The sequence below is a fragment of the Homo sapiens genome, chromosome 15 (assembly GCF_000001405.40).
Source record: "Homo sapiens chromosome 15, GRCh38.p14 Primary Assembly".
NCBI lineage: Eukaryota > Metazoa > Chordata > Mammalia > Primates > Hominidae > Homo > Homo sapiens.
Genome location: NC_000015.10, coordinates 76,442,092 through 76,461,261, shown reverse-complemented (window position 1 = coordinate 76,461,261; position 19,170 = coordinate 76,442,092). Strand labels below are relative to the sequence as shown.

Here is a 19,170-nt window from a genome sequence, read left to right as displayed (position 1 = left end):
ATCACTACTACTGATGTTGCTATGTCAACGTCAGTACCCTCTGATAATAATACATGTTTACAAGCTCACAGCATCACTTCTATGATATTCTTGCCAAAAGTGCATAACCACCATCAAATTATGAGAAAACATCAGACCAAAAATTAAGGGGCATTTTACAAAATAACTAACCAAAGCTATTTCAAATATAAAGACTGAAAAACATATTAGAGGAGACTAAAGAGGTATGACAATTCATTATGGAATCTTGGATTGGATCCTGGACTGCAAAAAAGAATGTTAGTGGGGAAACTGGCAAAACTCTTATAAGGTCTGTAGATAAGTTCATTGTTTTGAGCCAGTGTTAATTTTCTGGTTTTGGTAATTGTGCTGTAGTTGTGTAGGATATTAACATTAAGGAAAGCTAAGAGAAGCCTAAAAGTGCTTACCAAAAGTTTTAAATTGTTAAAAATTCACTAGATGGGTTTAACAGCAGGTTGGAGATGACAGAGGAAAGGGTCATTAAACTTGAAGTTACATCAATAGGAATTAATGTAGTCTGAAGAATGGAAAGAGAATTTAAAAGGGAACAGAGCTTAGAGACTTATGAGACAGTATGAAACAGTGTAACGTACATATCACTGGATATCCAAAAGGAGAAGAGAGAATGAGACATGAACATTTTTTTGTAAAAAATAGTGGCTAAAATATTTTCCAATTTTAGTGAAAGACATAAATACGCAGATTCAAGAAGCTCAGAAAAGGAAGTTAAATTGTCCCCATTTGCAGTTGGCATGATCTTATATTTAGAAAAACCCAGACTCCACCAAAAAACTCTTAGATCTGATGAATGAATTCAGTAAAGTTGCAGAATACAAAATCAACTTATAAAAATCGGTAACATTTCTATACACCAATGATGAAATAGCTGAAAAATTAAGAAGGCAATCCCTTCTATAATAGCTATAAAAATAAAATTCTTAGGAATGAATTTAGCCAAAAAGGTGAAAGACATCTACAAGGAAAACTACAAAACTCTGAGAAAGAAACTGATGAGGACCGAGGAAAGATATCCATGCTCATGGATCAGAATAATTAATGTAATAAAATGACTATACTACCTAAAGAAACCTACAGATTTAGTGCAATCCCTATCAAAACACCAATTTCATTTTTCATAGAAACAGAAAAAAAATCATATATTACAAGGCCACAGTAACCAAAACAGCATGATGTTGGTATAAAAACAGCCATACAGATCGATGGAAGAGAAAAGAGAACCCAGAAATAAATCCACTTATTTGCAGCCAACTGATTTTTGACAAGATGCCAAGAACATACACTGGGGAATGGACACCCTCTTTAGTAAGTGGTGCTGGGAAAACTGGATAACCACATGCAGAATAATGAAACTAGACCCCTATCTCTCACCATTACAAAAATCAACTCAAAATGAATTACAGACCTAAACAAAAGACTAAAATTATAAAACTGCTAGAAGAAAACATAAGGGAAACTCTGCTGGACATTAGTCTAGGCAAAGATTTTATAGCTAAGACCTCAAAAGTACAGGCAACAAAAATAGACAAATGGACTATATTAAACTAAAAACCTTTTACACAGCAAAGGAAACAATCAACAGAGTGAAGAGACAAACTATTGAAAGGGAGAAAATATTTACAAACTATTCATCCAACAAGCAATTAATATCCAGAGTATACAACAGCAAAAAAAAAAAACCCTAATAATTCCATTAAAAAGTGAGCAAAAGACATGAATAGATATTTCACATAAGATGTACAGATAGCCAACAGGTATATGAAAAACAGCTGAACGTCACTAATCATCAAGAGAATGCAAATCAAAATCACAATGAGATGTCATCTTACTCCAGTTAGAATATATACAGAATATGTATATATGCACACACACATAATGGAATACTACTTAGCCATAGAAAAGAATGACATCCTGTCATTTGCAAAAACGTAGATGGAACTGGAAGTCGTTACGTCAAGTGAAATAAGCGAGGCACAAAAAGACAAATACCACATGTTCTGACCCATGTGGGAGCTAAAAAAAGTTTAATTCAGCCAGGCACAGTGGCTCATTCCTGCAATCCCAGCAATTTGGAAGGCCAAGGCAGGAGGGTCACTTGAGCCCAGGAGTTTTGAGACCAGCCTTGGCAACATAGTCCATCTCTACAAAAAATAAAAAAGAATTTGCCAGGCATGGTGGCACATGCCTGTAGTCCCAGCTACCTGGGAGGCTGAGATGAGAGGATTGCTTGAGCCCAGGAGGTCAAGGCTGCAGTGAGCCTTGATTATGCCACTGCATCCCAGCTTGGACAACAGAATGAAACCTTGTCTCAATGAATAAATAAATAAATAAGTTGATCGTATGGAGATAGAGAGTAGAAAGTTAGTTATTATTAGAGGCCTGGAAGGGTGTGTGGTGACAGGGGCAGATAAAAGAGAGATTGGTTGATGGGTACAAACATACAGTTAAATAGAAGGAATAAGTTCCAGTGTTCAGTAGCAGAGCAGGGTGACCGTAGTTTACAACAGTGTATTGTATATTTCAAAATAGCTGGAAGACAGGTCGTGAAATGTTCCCAGCACCTAGAAATGATAAATGCTTGAGGTAATAGATGCCCTAAATATCCTGACTTGATCATTACACATGACCAAAATACCACATGTACTCCATGAAATGTACAAATATTATATATTGGGTTTTTAAAGCTAGAAACAAAAGAGAAGCTCAGAAACTCCAAAAGGTCTAAATACAAAGAAAATCAAGCTAGGCAAATCATAGTCAAACTGCTAAAAGGGTGTGTGTATATATGTGTATATATATGTGTGTGTGTGTGTGTATGTTTGTATTTGTGGATATATATATATGTGTGTGTATATATACACTTTCAAAATATTCTCTCTCTATATATGATTTTCTCTCTCTACATATATAATTTTTCTCTCTCTCTTTCCCTTTATATACACGCACACACACACACAATGGAGTATGTGGAGTCTGTATGTGTGGGTATATGTGTGTGTGTGTATATATATCTATAAGGAGAATATATAGTGAGAGAATATATAAAGAGAGAGTATCTTGAAAGTAGACAAATTTCATATAGGTAAATAATTCATATAATGTCTTCTTAGCAGAGGCCAGAAGACAGTGACCATCTTTAGAGTGCTTAAAGAAGAAACAAACATCAATCTGGAATTCTATATCCATCAAAATATCCTTCAAGAATAAATGTGAAATAAATACATTTTCATATTAAATATATATACACCTCCGAGAATTTGTTGACAACAGACCTGCACTACTAGAAATGCTAAAGGAAGTTCTTCAGGCTGAAGGGAAATGATACCCAGTGAAAATTTCTATCTTCAGGAAATGATAAAGAGCAGTGGAAACAGACTCTGTATTTATTTTAAAATTTTAAAAAATACATGTGATGGTTAAATTTTACTTTAAAATTTTACTTTAAAAGTCAAATTTTACTTTAAAAGTTAAATTTTTCATTTTGTTCTGTGAGTTTATGACATATGTAAAGTGTACTGCATATTATTATAATATAGAGAATGGGAAGGACAGAAAATGAACCCATGAGCTTACAAGCTTTCTACACTTTACACACAGTGCTACAATACCAGCTTAAGGAGACTGTGAGAAGTTAAGGTTGTGTGTTGTAACTCCTTCAAGCAACCACTAGCAAAATAACTTAGAAGCCAATGGTAAATTAAAATAGGATTCTAAAATATATTCAGATATTCCAAAAGGATATTCCAAAAGAAGAAAGGAAAAAAGGAATTAGAGAATAAAACACAGAGGGGACAAACAGAAAAGAAATAATAAAACAGTAGACCTAAACCCAATGTGTCAATAATTAAATGTATAAAGCCAGCTGTGCGTGGTGGCTCATGCCTATAATCCCAGCTCTGTGGGAGGCCGAGGCCGACGGATCACAAGGTCAGGAGATCGAGACCATCCTGGCTAACACAGTGAAACCCCTTCTCTACTAAAAATACAAAAAAATTAGCTGGGCATGGTGGCAGGCACCTGTAGTCCCAGCTGCTTGGGAGGCCGAGGCAGGAGAATCACTTGAACCCGGGAGGCGGAGGTTGCGGCGAGCCAAGATTGTGCCACTGCACTCCAGCCTGGGTGACCAAGCGAGACTCCATCTAAAAAAAAAAAAAAAGTGTGTAAAGCCCTCCGGTTACAAGGCAGAAACTGCTGGAATGGATAAAAAGACCTAACCATGTGCTCTATCTACATGAGATGCATTTAAAATATAAAGACCAAACCCATATAAATACAGGTTGAAAGTGGATAAAAAGACATACATAGTAAGCATAAGAAGTAGCTATATTAATATCAGAGTAGAATTTAATATCACTGTATTAGTATGCAAAGAGGCATTGCCTATTAATAGGATATCAAATCAACAGGAAGATATAACAGTCATAAATGTGTATACTACAAAATACATGAAGCAAAAATTGACAGAATATAAGGGAGAAAGAAACAATTTCCATATGAGAATTTCCATTCTCAGAGATGGATATTTTAACAGACCTCTTTCAGCAACTGATACAATAACTAGACCAAAGAAATCAGTAAAAATATACATGATATGAACAATACCATTATCAACCACTTTGACCTAATTGATGTTTGTAGATCACTGCACCTAGCAACTGTAGAATACACACATTCTTTCTGAGCATACTGAGGATGTTCAAGATACACTATATGCTGGACCATAAGACAGTTTTAATACATTTAAAGAGCTTGAAATCATTGAAAATATGTCCTCTGAAGACAGTGGGATGAAGTTAGAACTCAATATTATGTATCTACAAATTCACAAAGAAATGAGAAAATATTTTGAACTGAAAAGTATTTTCAATGAAAATATAGCATCAGGAAACAACAGATGTTGGCAAGGATGTGGAGAAATAGGAACGCTTTTACACTGCAGGTGGGAGTGTAAATTAGTTCAACCATTGTGGAAGAAAGTGTGGCAATTCCCCAAGGATCTAGAACCAGAAATATCATTTGACCCAGCAATTCCATCACTGGGTATATAACCCAAGGATCATAAATCATTCTACTATAAAGACACATGCACACATATGTTTATTGAAGCACTATTTACAATAGCAAAGACTTGGAACCAACCCAAATGCTCATCAATGATAGACTGGATAAAGAAAATGTGGCACATATACACCATGGAATACTACGCAGCCATAAAACAGAATTCTGAGTTCATGTCCTTTGCAGGGACATGGATGAAGCTGGAAACCATCATCTTCAGCAAAGTAAGAGAAAACCAAACACGGCATGTTCTCACTCATAAGTGGGAGTTGAACAATGAGATTACATGGACACAGGGAGGGGAACATCACACACCAGGGCCTGTCAGGAGTTGGGGGGCAAAGGGAGAGAGAGCATTAGGACAAAAACCTAATGCATGTGGGCTTAAAACCTTGATGACAGGTTGATAGGTGCAGCAAACCACCACGGCACGTGTATACCTATGTAACCTGCACGTTCAGCACATGTATCCCAGAACTTAAAGTAAAATAAAAATAAAAAATAAAAATTAAAAAAGTTAAAAAATACTAGGTGTGGTGGTGTACATCTATAATTCCAGCTTCTCAGAAGGCTGAGATAGAATTGCTTGAGCACAAGAGTTCAAAGCTGTGGTGCATTATGATAACACCTGTGAATAGCCACTGCTTTCCAGCCTGGGCAACATAGCGAGACCCAGCTCTTTAAAAAAAACAATGCTTACAGGAAAGTTTATACCTTTAAATAGAAGTATTATACAATTAGTGCGTTCTGAATATAATGCAGTTAAGGTAGAAACCAATGAAGATAAAGATCCATATATACATTTAGAAATTTAGAGATTCCCATAATAAACTCAAGAGCAATAAACTACAAGTTTTTAAAACCTAAAATGGAAAAATAGTGAAATCAAAACATCGAGTTGTACACCTGAAGTATATACAATTTTTATTTGTCAACTATACGCCAGTAAAGCTGGAGGAACGGAAATAACAACAATGAAAATACTGCATATCAAAATGTTTGGGATGCAGTTAAAGCAAAACCATTAAAAATGGTAAATTCTTAAGTACTTAGGCTTCATAAATTAGAATTGATCAAGAAGAAAGAAGAGGCACAAATAATGAATAAAATGGGAAATTTAACTACAGGTTGAGGAATAATTAAAAAGTTAAGAAAATACTTTGAACAGCTTTATACCAGTGCATTTGAAAGCTTTAACGAATTTAAATTCCTAGAAAAATATAACTCACCAGACTAACTCAAGAAGAAATAGAAAGCCTGAATAATTTTTTAACCATTAAATAAATTATTTAAAATCTACCTATTAAAAAAAAAAGCACCAGGCCTAAATAATGCTATGGCCAACTTCCAGCAAACGTTCCAGGAACAAGATCATTTCAATGTTAAATTATGCCAGGAAGATAAAATGTGTGATTTCTTCACAGTTCATTTTTTTAAGACCACTATAACCTTGGTAACAAAACCAGACAAGGATGGTGCAAGAAAAAAAATTACAAGCCAGTCTCTCTCATGAACCAAGATGTCAAAATTCTAAAAATATTAGTAAATTCAATGAATTATAAAAATGAGATATTTTTACAAAGTGTGAAAGCAAGCAAAACTAAACGTTATATTCTCTAGGGACACATTTATGTAATAAAATCTTTGTTTAAGCAAGGGAATGATAAACACAAAATCATGATAATGGTTACTAGGTTAGGGAGATGGGGAATGAGATAGTAGAAGAGCCAAAAATAAATTAAATGTATTGATATTATTCCCGTTAAATTATTTAAATTTTACTTAAAAAATTAAAGCCACAGTTGTAGTCTTCTTGGAATTTATGATCAGTGGATAGCTCAAACAAGCGGTCAAATACAATATCTCTTAAGGATTATGATGAGTCAGGACAGTGCTGATTTTCAGGGGTCAGAGGAAAGTTCCTAGAGAAAGTAATATCTAAACTGAGACCTGAAGGATAAGTAGTAATGTGATCATCTAAGAAAACAATAAGAAAAAAAAACATCCTTAGCAAAATTTATAACCCAAGTGAAAGGAAGGGGGATGGGTGCTAAGTGGTGAGAGCTCTAGCCGGTGACATAAGTAGGGATCCGCTAGTGAAGGATACTAAGTCAGTGATAATAGGACATAGCCTTAGCTCTTTCCCTACAGATGCTTGCTTGTCTCTCAGGTTTCAAATATGAGGAAAGAATGTACTTACTGTACTACTACATATTGGAAAATAATGCCCTGTATTTTAAATAGACACAGATGATAACTGATCTGTCAGTTTAAGCAGGAAGACCTGTATCTCGGATCATTCTCCAAGTATCTTTCTGCCACTTTTTACCAGTGAGAGAGAAGTATTTATTTTGTTTATTAAATACTTATGCCATACCCATCTCCCAAGAAGAATGAATGTTTGTTGAGAAACAGGATATTTGCCTAATTTCAAAGTATAGTATATTCCTACAAAATTGTTATTAATTGCAAAGTAAAAGAGTAACTTTCTAGTGAAAAAACCTGGCACACACCACCTTACCAAATGATCAAAGTAAACAGTATCAGTTATGCACAAATCAGAACTGTCTGCTACCTGATAGGCTGCAATGAAAATAACACAGCGTTGCTTCTGTAATATTTCTGCCAAAGATAATATAATCTGAATCTAATTATGAGGAAACATCCTACATACCTAAATTTTAGGACATACCTCAAAATAACCTGTAATCTTCAAAAGTTTGAAAATCATGAAAGTTCAAGGAGTCACTGAGGAGTTTTCTAGACTGGTAGTAATAAGAGACATGACAACTAATTAGAACACAATTCTGAACCAGATCCTTTTGCTATAGACAACATTAATGGGACAACTGGCAAATTTTGAATGGGCTCTGAGGTTTAGATGGTGACAAAGAATCAGTGTTCATTTCCTGACTGATGAATATCTTGTAATGTAGGAGAATGTCCCTTCATTGGAAATACACAAAAGTATTTAGTGGTGATGGGGCATCATGTGAGTATCCTCACAAGGTTCAGGGAAAAAGGTCCTCTTAGCTGGGTTCAGTAGCTCTCACCTGTAATCCCAGCAACTCAGGAGGCTGAGGCAGGAGGATCGCTGGAGGCCAGCAGTTTGAAACCAGCCTGGGCAACATAGCAAGACCCCATCACTACAAACATTTTTTAAAAATTTAGCTGGGTGTGGTGGCACACACCCGTAATCCCAGCCACTCACTGGGCTGAAGTAGAAGGATCACTTGGGCCCAAGAGATTGAGGTTGCAGTAGGCTATAATTGCACCAGTGCATTCTACCCCGGGCAACTCTATCTCTAAAAAAAAAAAAAGTTCTTTGAACTATACTTGCAGTTATTCTAATAGTTGAGGCTATATGCACACAAAAACACACAAATATTTTAACAAAATACAAAAATAAAAGTTTTGGAAACCTGGAATGAGTTGATAAGAATTTTGTGATTCCATCAGCTACATACATTGACCTCAATAGCTGAAACACAGAATAACTTAAAACTAGGGCTTATTTCTTGGAGCTGAAATACGGCGTTCAACTTAAAATGTCTTCCTTATGGGAAAATGATTGTTCTTATGAAAGGAAAGTGAAGCTTTCATAGTAGACTGTTTAGCTATATCACTGAAACACATTTAAAATCCTTGCAGAGGAATTTCTAAAACACCTAACTCATACTATGAAAATTCCTCGAAGGGGATGACAGCTATTCAGTGTATACTTTGTGCCAATTTGAACAAAACGCTGATGTTATTTAATATGAAGATTTAGGAAAATGGGCAATCCCAGTAGCCAGGTGGGAAACCCATAGTATCCCAGGTATCTTGTGTAGAATGTTCACAGTATAGCTGCAGGGAAAAGACTACTACAACTGAAAGGCACAAAGGCCAGGATCAGCAATGCAAGGGAATAGTTCTGTTCTTTTGTGTCTAACAAGCCTGGAAATACAAGACTTGGTAACTGCTGTTTTGAAAGACTGAGAACAGAATCTTGAAATTAAGAAACCTAACAAGGGTAAGATTCATACAATACACATGTGTACATATACTCAGAAAGCAGAGAGATGAGAGAAAATGGAATAGTGGGACTAAAAGGAAGACAATAGTAGGAACTGGAAGAAGAATGAGACAGAGAGAAGAGGGAGGTTAAGGAAGGAGATAAAATGAAGAGGAAAAGAGAATAGAAGTGGATCAGGTGTGGGGGTATGTGTAGAAATTAGAATGGCAAATACAGAGAAACCCTGATTAGACCTTTCCCAATACCCTATAATAATGCAGTCACAGCCTGCCCTCTTTAAGCTTACATCCCAGTGTTGTCATGTTTGTATTTACATATAGCAAGGCATGAAGCAGTAAGTCTTCTGTCTTTTCCAGTAAATGAAAGAAAATAGTAATATCAGACATTCTAAGGTCATACACACAGCTAAGTTCCTGTTTCTGTGCCCTTTCCCACTCCTCTTGGGGTTTTATGAGATGTGGGAAATGGACTAAAAGCATTCTTTATGGTTGGCCTCTGCTCTTGTTCAGTTCATTCTTACCTGTTAAAGCAGTCTGTTTAGAGAGGAAAAAGCAGCAATATTAGGTCTCATTAACGTTTCTGACTGTGGCAAAAGTCTTAACATAGACCACACTTCAGTATGTAGTTGCATTCGTTGAAAGATAACTTGCTTTCTCTTAAGCCTTGACAATATAGTTTAACAAACTCCTGTGTTTTATAAAGTGTGCTTTAAGTTTGGCAGTTTCTTATAAACATACACTTACCCTACATCCCAGCAATCCCACTCCTAGCTATTTCTCCAAGAAAAATGAAAAACATTTCTCTACAAAAAGACTTGTACAGGAATGATCTTAGCATCCTTATTTATAAGTAAAATCCCTAAATAACACACATGTCCACGAACAGGTGAACTGATAAATTGAGGCATATTCATAGTGGAATATTTAGCAATAAAAAGGAATGAACTATTGATACAACATGGATGAATTATTCAGAATTCATGGAAACATTATTCATACTGCAGAAAGCCAGATTCAAAAATCTACCTACTGTGTGATTGCAGTTATTTGAAATTCTAGAAAATGCAAAGTCATTTATAATACAAAGCAGATCAGTGATTGCCTATGCCCACAGGGGCAAAAGGGAACATTGACTTCAAAGGGGCACAAGGAAACTTTTGGAGATGATCAAAGTGTTCTGTATCTTGATTATGATGGTTCTTACATAGACGCGTATATGTCAAAATTAATCCAAGTGTACACTTCAAATGGGTGCATTTTACAATAAAATGTATTTTTTAAATATGTGTTTACAGGCCAGGTGCAGTGGCTCATGCATGTAATCCGAACACTTTGGGAGGCCAAGGTGCATGGATCGCTGAGCCCAGGAGTTCGAGACCAGCCTGGGCAATATGACAAAACCCTATCTCTACTAAAAATACAAAAAATTAGCCAGGCGTGGTGGCACATGCCTGTAATCCCAGCTACTCAGGAGGCTGAGGCACGAGAATCGTTTGAACCAGGGAGGTGGAGGTTGCAGTGAGCCGAGATTGGGCTACTGCACTCCAGCCTGGGCAACAGAGCAAGACTCCATCTCAAAATATATATGTGTATATATATGCTTTTACAAATGTGGCAAAATGTTATCAATTGGTGAGTCTAGGTAAAGGATATACTTCATCTTATACTTCATTGTACTAGATTTAGAAGGGAAAAAAATACTCTTTCCAAAAGGCAGCAATGTAAAGACAGTAACTGAATTATTGAGGGGAATAAATAAGCCGGAGAGCTTAAGGAATACGCCATCTTCATAGAATTTTGTATCTGTTCTTTCAGACTACACTGCTACCTTCTTAATTCAGTGTCTTGATATGTATAACATCAAGAAAAAAGCTATTGATTTGCTTTCCTTATATTTTAAGTGAACGTAATTTAATTCACTTTCTTCCACTTTTGAGTGCCCTTTTCAGACAAGAATATGCTATAGTAGACATCACAAGGAATACAGAGACAATATGGTGTGGAGCTTGCTCTCAAGATACAGTGTAGCACAGGGGTTAGCAGATTCAGATCCACAGGCCAAATCACTACCTGTTTATAAATAAAGTTGTATTAAAATACAGCATTTGTTTACATAAGGCTGCTTTCTTCTTACAACAGTAGAACTGAGTAGTTGTGATGGAGACTGTATAACCTGCAAAGCATAAAATATTTACTGTCTGGCCCTTGACAGAAAAAAATAATCGCCAACTTCTGGTCTAATAGAATAGATAAGACATGGATGTTAAAAACAAAGTGTCATAAGCAAAGTAAAGATCAGCTGTTCCAAGAGGTCAGAGGAGGGAGAGATTCCTTTAAAAGGAAAGTTGGAGAAAGTTTCATTAAGGAAGTGGTATTGATAGCCAAACCTCAGTAGGAATTAGGCAGAGGGAGATTTGAGGAAACAAGTTGGTAAGTGCTGGTGCAAGAGGCGTGGAGGAAAACTTTATACATGCCCTTGAAAATCACCAGATAGAGGGAAATAAGGGCCAATTAAGCAACCTTGTACCCACTTGTCATAGAATTATAGAATATCAAGAGCTGTAAACCTTAAAGATTATCTCATATAACTATTTCAAGTTACAGTTGAGAAAACAGACTCAAAGGGATTAAATCATTCATACAAGGCCACATACAAAGTTAGTGGGGAAGCCATACTAAAATTCAGTATTTATGCCTCCACACCTTAAGCCAATATTTACTGAATTAAGCTGAATTGCTTCCCCAGAGAGACTTTCTAGGGCAAAGACTTTCATCTAAGGTATAGAATACAGATCAAAATCTGTAGAGTACATGTTTAAAATTACATATGCTCTTTCCTCCTTTGAGATTTACTACATGAAATAAGAAATGTCAGTTATGGAGATATGTTCCCCCAAATGAATATTGTGGAAGAGTAAGACCAAAACTTTTTCTAAAATCATGTATTTCACATATGGTTTAGTAGATATTTGATAGGCCTTTATAGAAAAATAAATGATATTATTTTGAAGACCATTTGTTGCTGCCTATGAATAACTTGGTAATATCTGGATTCTATGTTGGATCAGATTACCCATCCCAAGACTCACGTTTGTATTTTTCATTCCTGTGTGTGCTTCTGTCCAAACTTTGCCAAAAATTATGCCATCATTTGTCAAGTGTCAGCATTATCAAGCTTTGTTGTGTTACATCACTAAGTGCTGTCCAGTAGAAGAGAGATGATAACTCACTGGCTTCTGGTAATACTTATCACCCTTTCCTGTCACAACCAAACCTCTTAAAGAGCTGTCTGCATCCATTCTTTTCATTTCCACACTGCAGATTCACTATTCACCCACTCAGTTCGGTTTTTTCTACCACCATGCCACTCAGTTCTTTCACCAAGATCACCAGTAGATTCTAAGTTGAAAGTCTCCCCTCCTTTGGTTTGTAGAAAATCTCCCTCTGGACTTTCCTCCTGCTAGGCCATTTTGCAAATGTTGATATGTCTCAGAATACCTTTTTAGTTTTCTTCCTCCCCTTCTCCTACCAAACTGTACAATCTTCATAAACAGGGTTTCTGTGTTTGTTTGTTTCAACAAACAGCATGCCGTTTGTTTCAGCTGTTTTCTCATACACCGATGGTCCCAAGTCAGCATCTTCAAACCCTGAAACTTAGCATGCCCAGAACTGGGCATATACTCCCTCAAAATCGGCTTCCCCCACTGCATTCCCCATCCTGGTAAACAACTCTACCATATAAGCCAGAAACCTAGGAAAGTTAAACCATCCCTCCCTTCACTCTTCTTTCCCCCTTTCCCTAAATATGCAGTCAATTAGATTATTCTCCATTTCCCATCATCTTTCATTTCTAAGTAATATAATAGCCTCCTTCCCTGCTGTTAATTGTAACCCTTCCCATAGCAGCCTACATATTGTGATGAGTCATTTTTCAAAAAATGAAAACTTTTCATGTCACTTCTAGCTTAGAATCCTTCATTGTCTTACCCCTTATGCTCAGAATTGAGAGCTAAACCCCTCAGTATAGCAGGGCCTGTGTGATCTGACAGTCTCATACACCACTAGTCCAACTATCTCCAGCAACCTGCAGCTTCCTGAACACACATACTCTCTTCTGTCTTCTTTCATGCTGTTTCCTCATGTGTCCTCTTCACTACCCAACATCACCACCATCCCAGCAGGCTAAGTTTTTCCTCTTTCTGTGAGACTCAGCTCAGGGGTTACCTTCCCCAGGCACTGCACTTTGCACCTGTCCTCATAAGACCATGAGTTTACTTATCACCTGGAATTCGAATTACATTTTACTTACCTGTGAACTCTGGGAGGCAAGACCATGTTTTTCCTCTTCACCTGTTGAGTTTATCACAGAGTCGAGGACATAGTATTCAAAAAATGTTCAATGAATGAAAGCAATTGTTGTAAGCTAATGTGTTTTGTAGTTCAGATAATAATATTATTTCAGAGATAGGTGTCTAAGAATATAGGAATAACAAACTCAGTTTCAGCTATACTTTCACAACACAAAATGAGTTTGTGACCTCAGATGTTTAGGGGTCTTCCGACACACACACCAAGCCAAGTAGTCCTTCAGCAGCAAACACCTGCTGGGAGCCTCTACTTCAATTCAATTCTGACTACTTGAAGGTAGCATCATACCCACAGGTTTAGAGCTCAGTCCCACAAGACTGTCCACCACTTCAGATGCCAATCAGAAGTCTCAGGTTGTTTTACCTGTGCTTCTGACCAAATGACTATAAATCAGAGTTCCCCATGACCCTTTCCTTGGGTTTGATGAATTTGCTAGAGTGGCTTACAGAACTCAAGGAAACACTTACATTTACCAGTTTATCACAAAGGATGTTACAAAGGATACAGATGAAGAGATTTATAGGATGAGGAAAAGAAGCATGGATTACCCTCTCCAGGTGCACCACCCTCCAAGAACCTCCATGTGTTTCATGCTCCTGAAGCTCTTCAAACCCTATCCTATTGGGTTTTTATGGAAGCTTCATTCCATAGGCATGATCAATTAAATCATTAGCCATTGGTGATCAGCTTAACCTTCAGCCCTTAATACACCAGACCTAACAAACATCATGGCTTAGCGTAGTCCACCTTAAATGTGCTCAAAACACTGACATTAGCTTATAGTTGGGCAGAATTAGCTAAAACAGAGTCTGTTGTACAATGAAGTGTTGAACGTCTCATGTAATTTATTGAATCATGTACTGAAAGTGAAACAGGGAATGGATGTATAGGTACTCGAAGTATGGTTTCTATTGAACGCGTATCTCTTTCACACCATGATAAAGTCAAAAAATCATAAGTTGAACCATGGCAAGTTGGGGACTGTCTGTATATATTTCACAGTATTATGAGATTATGGATGACATACATTTCCTTTTTCATATGAATTTGTCTACTTCAGGATATGCACATAACTGCCTCTTTAAACTGTAGGGGGTTCTCCAGAATGTTAATCTCCATCCTATAAAGTGGATAGCAAAGCTTAGTGATTATCCATAACACATCTGTCCTTATAAGTTTCTATTGAGCTTGCCTGAAGAGATTAAAGGAAATTTCAGTTCCCTATATGTGCAAAAACAACCTATGAGAAAATAATAGATACTTGTATTTCACTAAAGCTCTACCTCTAAAACTTCCCCAGGTTCTTGTGCAGCTTTTGCTATGAAACATGTCTTTTGGGCAGCTATTGCAATGAGAAACAATGTTTAAATGATTCATTAGCACCAGTTGAAGCCTGGATTTTCATTTATCTAATCATGATCACTTGTTGCAGTGCCCTGGAAATAGTAATAAAACTTCCATCACGCTTGTTTAGTGCTTTATAATTTTTGAGCACTTTCACGTGTCACCTTGATTAATTTTCAGTATTGTATACTACAATAGTTAAAGACTCAGGCTCAGAAGTGAGACAGCCTGGATTGAAATCCTGACCCTGATGTGATTTAACCTCTCTGAACCCTAGTTTTCTTGTCTGAATATAGGAATAACAATATTTATGATTTGTGAGAGTGTTGTGTCGATTAAGTGAAATGATCCAGATGAGCTGTTATCATGGAACCTCACATTAAGTGCCCACTAAATGTTAGCTGCTATTACTATTATCACTACTGCCCCTTCTACCACTATTTCTACAAGAAAATTCCCTGTGCAGTAAGAGTGGATATTACCTCTGGAAGAATCAGAGGTCTTAAGAAAGGGTTAAGCACTCATGCAACGCCCCTCTCGCCATCCCTTGGTGGTGTTAGAGAAGGCTGAGTGGGAAATCGAGATTTTAATCCTCATCCAGCAGTAATGATGCACCTCCACCCGGGGTGCATGGAGACTGTATTGGAAGCCTGATTTTTTACCCCTACTGAGAGATAGTGAGATTCTCCTTCCCCAGTCACCAGGATGGTGCCAGAAGGGGCCAAGTGAGATGCCAGGACTCACCAGCTTCCTGTGGTAACAAGCCCTATCCCATCCCCTCATGTGGAAACCCCTCCTGTGGAAACCAAGTAACATGCCATCTCCAGGTGGTGATATCAGTAACATGCCATCTCCAGGTGGCTAACTCAGAAGCCTGAATTCCTGCCCTCACCTGATAATGAGGCAGCCTTCACCCCCAGCTGACAGTAATGAGGTGACACTCCCTGCCCCCCATCAGAACAGTGTCAGAGGAGGTCTTCTAAAACAAGATTTCAATAAGATACAGTCTTATCATACACAAAGTTTCCAGAATATAATTTAAAAATCACTCATCATAGAAAGAACCAGGAAAATCTCAACCTGAATGAGAAAAGACAACAGATGTTACAATTCTTACATGGATTTTAAAGCAGCCACCATAAAAATGCTTCAACATGCAATTACAAATATGCTTAAAGCAAATGAAAAAGTAGTCTCGGCAAAGAAATAGAAGATATATTTTCTCACTTACAAGTGGAAACTAAGCTATGGGTATGCAAAGGCATACAGAGTGGTATAATGAACAATGGAGACTCAGGAGGAGAAAAGGTGAGAATAGGGTAAAGGATGAAATGGGTACAGTGTACACTATTCGGGTGACAGGTGCACAAAAATCCCAGACTTCACCACTATACAGTTCATCCATGTGACCAGAAACCACTTTGATCCCTAAAGCTATTGAAATAAAATAGAAGATATAAAGAATAACCAAGTGAAATGCTATAATTGAAAACTATAATAATCCAAAATTTTAAAAGTCAATGAATGTGCTCCAATGACTGAATGGGGAGAAAGGATGAAAGAATCAATGAATTTGAAGTTAGAATGATCAAAATTACCCAATCTGAAGAACAACAGAGAAAACAGACCAAAATGTTTTAAGTGACCAGAACCTAAGGACTGATGGAGCCATAACAAGAAATCTAACATTCATGTCACCAGACTCATGGGATCTAACATTCATGTCATCAGATTCATGGAAGTAGAAAAAAGACAGGGATGAAAAAGTATTTGAAGAAATAGTAGCTGAAATGGTCCCAAATTTGGCAAAAGATGTAAATGTGTGGGTTCAAGAAGCAGAGCAGACCACAAACAGAATAAACAAAAGGTAAATTGTTGGACTTAAGCCCTAACACATAGGTAATTAGATTAAACATAAATGGTTCTGAAATAACAAAATTTTATTTAAAAATGGGAAAGATTAGTTTACAGCAGTGAGGAGAGAGGGAAAACTTGTGGAAAAACTGAATTACATAATGAACATAAAAAATGTGAACTTTATTTTTTTAACTTAAGTTCCATCAAGTTCAAGACACTTTTATAAGTGGTACTACCAGCCACCTAATTCATCCCTAAAAAACTAAGGGTCCTGGGAATTTAACCATGTCAGTGCAATCTTTTTTACATTATTAACTGAAGAAAAATGGGGCCCTTTACAGATTTTTTAAGATTAGGAAACAAGAAGTCAGAAGGAGACAAATCAGGACTGAAAGGTGGATGCCCAATGATTTCCCATCAAAACTCTTGAAAAGTTGCCTACATTTGATGAGAATAAGCAGGAGTATTGCTGTGGTGGAAAAGGACCCTCTGGTGAAGCTTTCCCAGGTGTTACTCTGCTCATGCTCTGGCTAACCTTCTCAAAACGCACTCATAATGAGCAGATGTTATCATTCTTTCACCCTCCAGAAAGTCAAAAAGCAAAATGCCTTGAGCATCCCAAAATGTTGCCATGATCTTTGCTCTTGACTGGTCCGCATTTGCTTTGACTGGGCTATTTCCACCTCTTGGTAGCCATTGCTTTGATTGTGCTTTGTCTTCAGAATCATACTGGTAAAGCCATGTCCTATTGCAGTTCTTCCAAGAAGTGCTTCAGGATCTTAATCCCCCTTGTTTAAAATTTCCATTGAAAGCTGTGCTCTTGTCTGCAGCTGAGCTGGACACAATGGTTTCGGCACTCATCAAGTGGAAAGTTTGCACAACTTTAATTTTTCAGTCAGAATTGTATAAGCTACCAGTTGAGAAGTCTGTGGTGTTAGCTGTTGTTTCTGCTATTAATCATCAGTCACCTTCAATTAGAGCACAAAATGAATTCTTTCCTTGTAAATTGATGTAGATGGTCTGCTGGTGCAGGCTTCATCTTCAACATCATGTTGTCCCTTCTTAAAACAAGTTATCCATTTGTAAACTGCTGATTTCCTTGGGCCATTGTCCCCATAAACTTTTTGTAAAACACCAGTGATTTCACAATTCTTCCACCCAAGCTTCACCATAAATTTGATGTTTGTTCTTGCTTCAATGTTAGCAGAATTCGTCTTGCTCTTAAAGGGGATCTTTTCAAATGGATGTCTTATCTTTCTTTGTGCTTCCAACTAGAGCCTCTTCAGACATGTTATAACAAGTTGGTGTAAGTTTATTTTGGTGCAAAAATAATTGAAATCCATGCATAGTTTTTTCAAAATACACATTTTTCACAAACATTTTGAAGACCTCTTATATTAAGGAGCCCCTGCACTGTTTGGGAGGATGAACTAGATAATCAACTTTAGGCTTTCCAACTCTGGGAGTCTCTGATTTTCTCCATTCATCAAGGTCCACCATCTATCATTATTTTTAGAAGGTGATTCCCTCAGTGGTGGTGTTTTTTACCCCAACTTTCGCTGTTTATCTGTCTTCTCATTTGCATCAATACACATGCCCCCACCACCTTTTTCACTGGTTTTTTAAATTATTTCCTGGTTTTTGCCTGTATTCCAGATAGATGAGATTACTTGAATAACTTCATACTCATAAATAAAGACCTACAGAATCTGAGACTTAAAAGAGGTCTCAGAGATTGAGTCCATCCTTATACTAGGAAAGATATAATGGTGTTAGGGTATATCACCTAACATGGAGTCAGATGTTTTGAATTTGAGAAGCTGCTACATTATTTGCTGACTTCAAGATCTTGTGTAAGTTGCTTAACCTTTCTGAGCCTCTGTTTTCTCATTTGCATAATAGGCATAATAATAGATATACTGGAGGGTAGCTATAAACATTTAATGGATAAATATGTATAAGGGGACCTAGCTTGCCATCTTACAGTGGACTCTCAGTAAATATTAATTAAAGCTGAATGTCCTCATTTTATACATAAGGAACTGGATACTCACAAGTCATGCTGGTAGCAGCAGGTGAGATAGAATGAGAGAGACTCAGGCCTCCCAGGACAGTGCTCCCAACACACCAAAGTTGCTATGTAAATGCCTCTAAAACCTACCCATTCTTTCATTGGACAAATATTTAGGCACTGGAACTACAGAGACAAATTGTAACTCACAGTTTAGTAGGACAAACCAGTAAGAGACATTTAAAATGTAGTATAATGAGTGCTGCAGTAAAGCACAGCATGTACAAGGTGTTTGGGAATTACAGTGAGGCACATAACTTATTTTGGGGGGTGGGGAAAAGAAAAGATGTACCTCATAGACTACAGTAACTGAAGCAGGAGTAAGAGGTGAACACGTAGGATATTGCATAGAGAAGGATTTTGCGTGCAAAATTCCTTTCTTCCTTTAATTCACTTTACACCTTTGCCCAGGATGA

General features: G+C 37.0%; 1 protein-coding gene across 24 annotated transcripts in view; it reads left to right on the top strand.

The window, feature by feature from the left end:
* The window catches only part of SCAPER (S-phase cyclin A associated protein in the ER), a 557,437-nt gene that overhangs the window by 444,079 nt on the left and 94,188 nt on the right, over positions 1-19,170 (top strand). For 3 of the 24 annotated variants that reach the window (XR_007064448.1, XM_047432628.1, XM_024449941.2), the window contains one exon: positions 3,150-3,842. The exons of 20 other annotated variants lie outside the window; for them this stretch is intronic. Coding sequence is in view for 3 of the 4 variants with exons in the window: in XM_047432628.1 (XP_047288584.1) it covers positions 3,150-3,179 (30 nt within the window). In the remaining variant the exon portion in view is untranslated. Of the gene's footprint in view, positions 1-3,149; positions 3,843-19,170 lie in introns of those variants that run through there. One more of the 24 variants, XM_024449942.2, reaches the window with a different exon arrangement.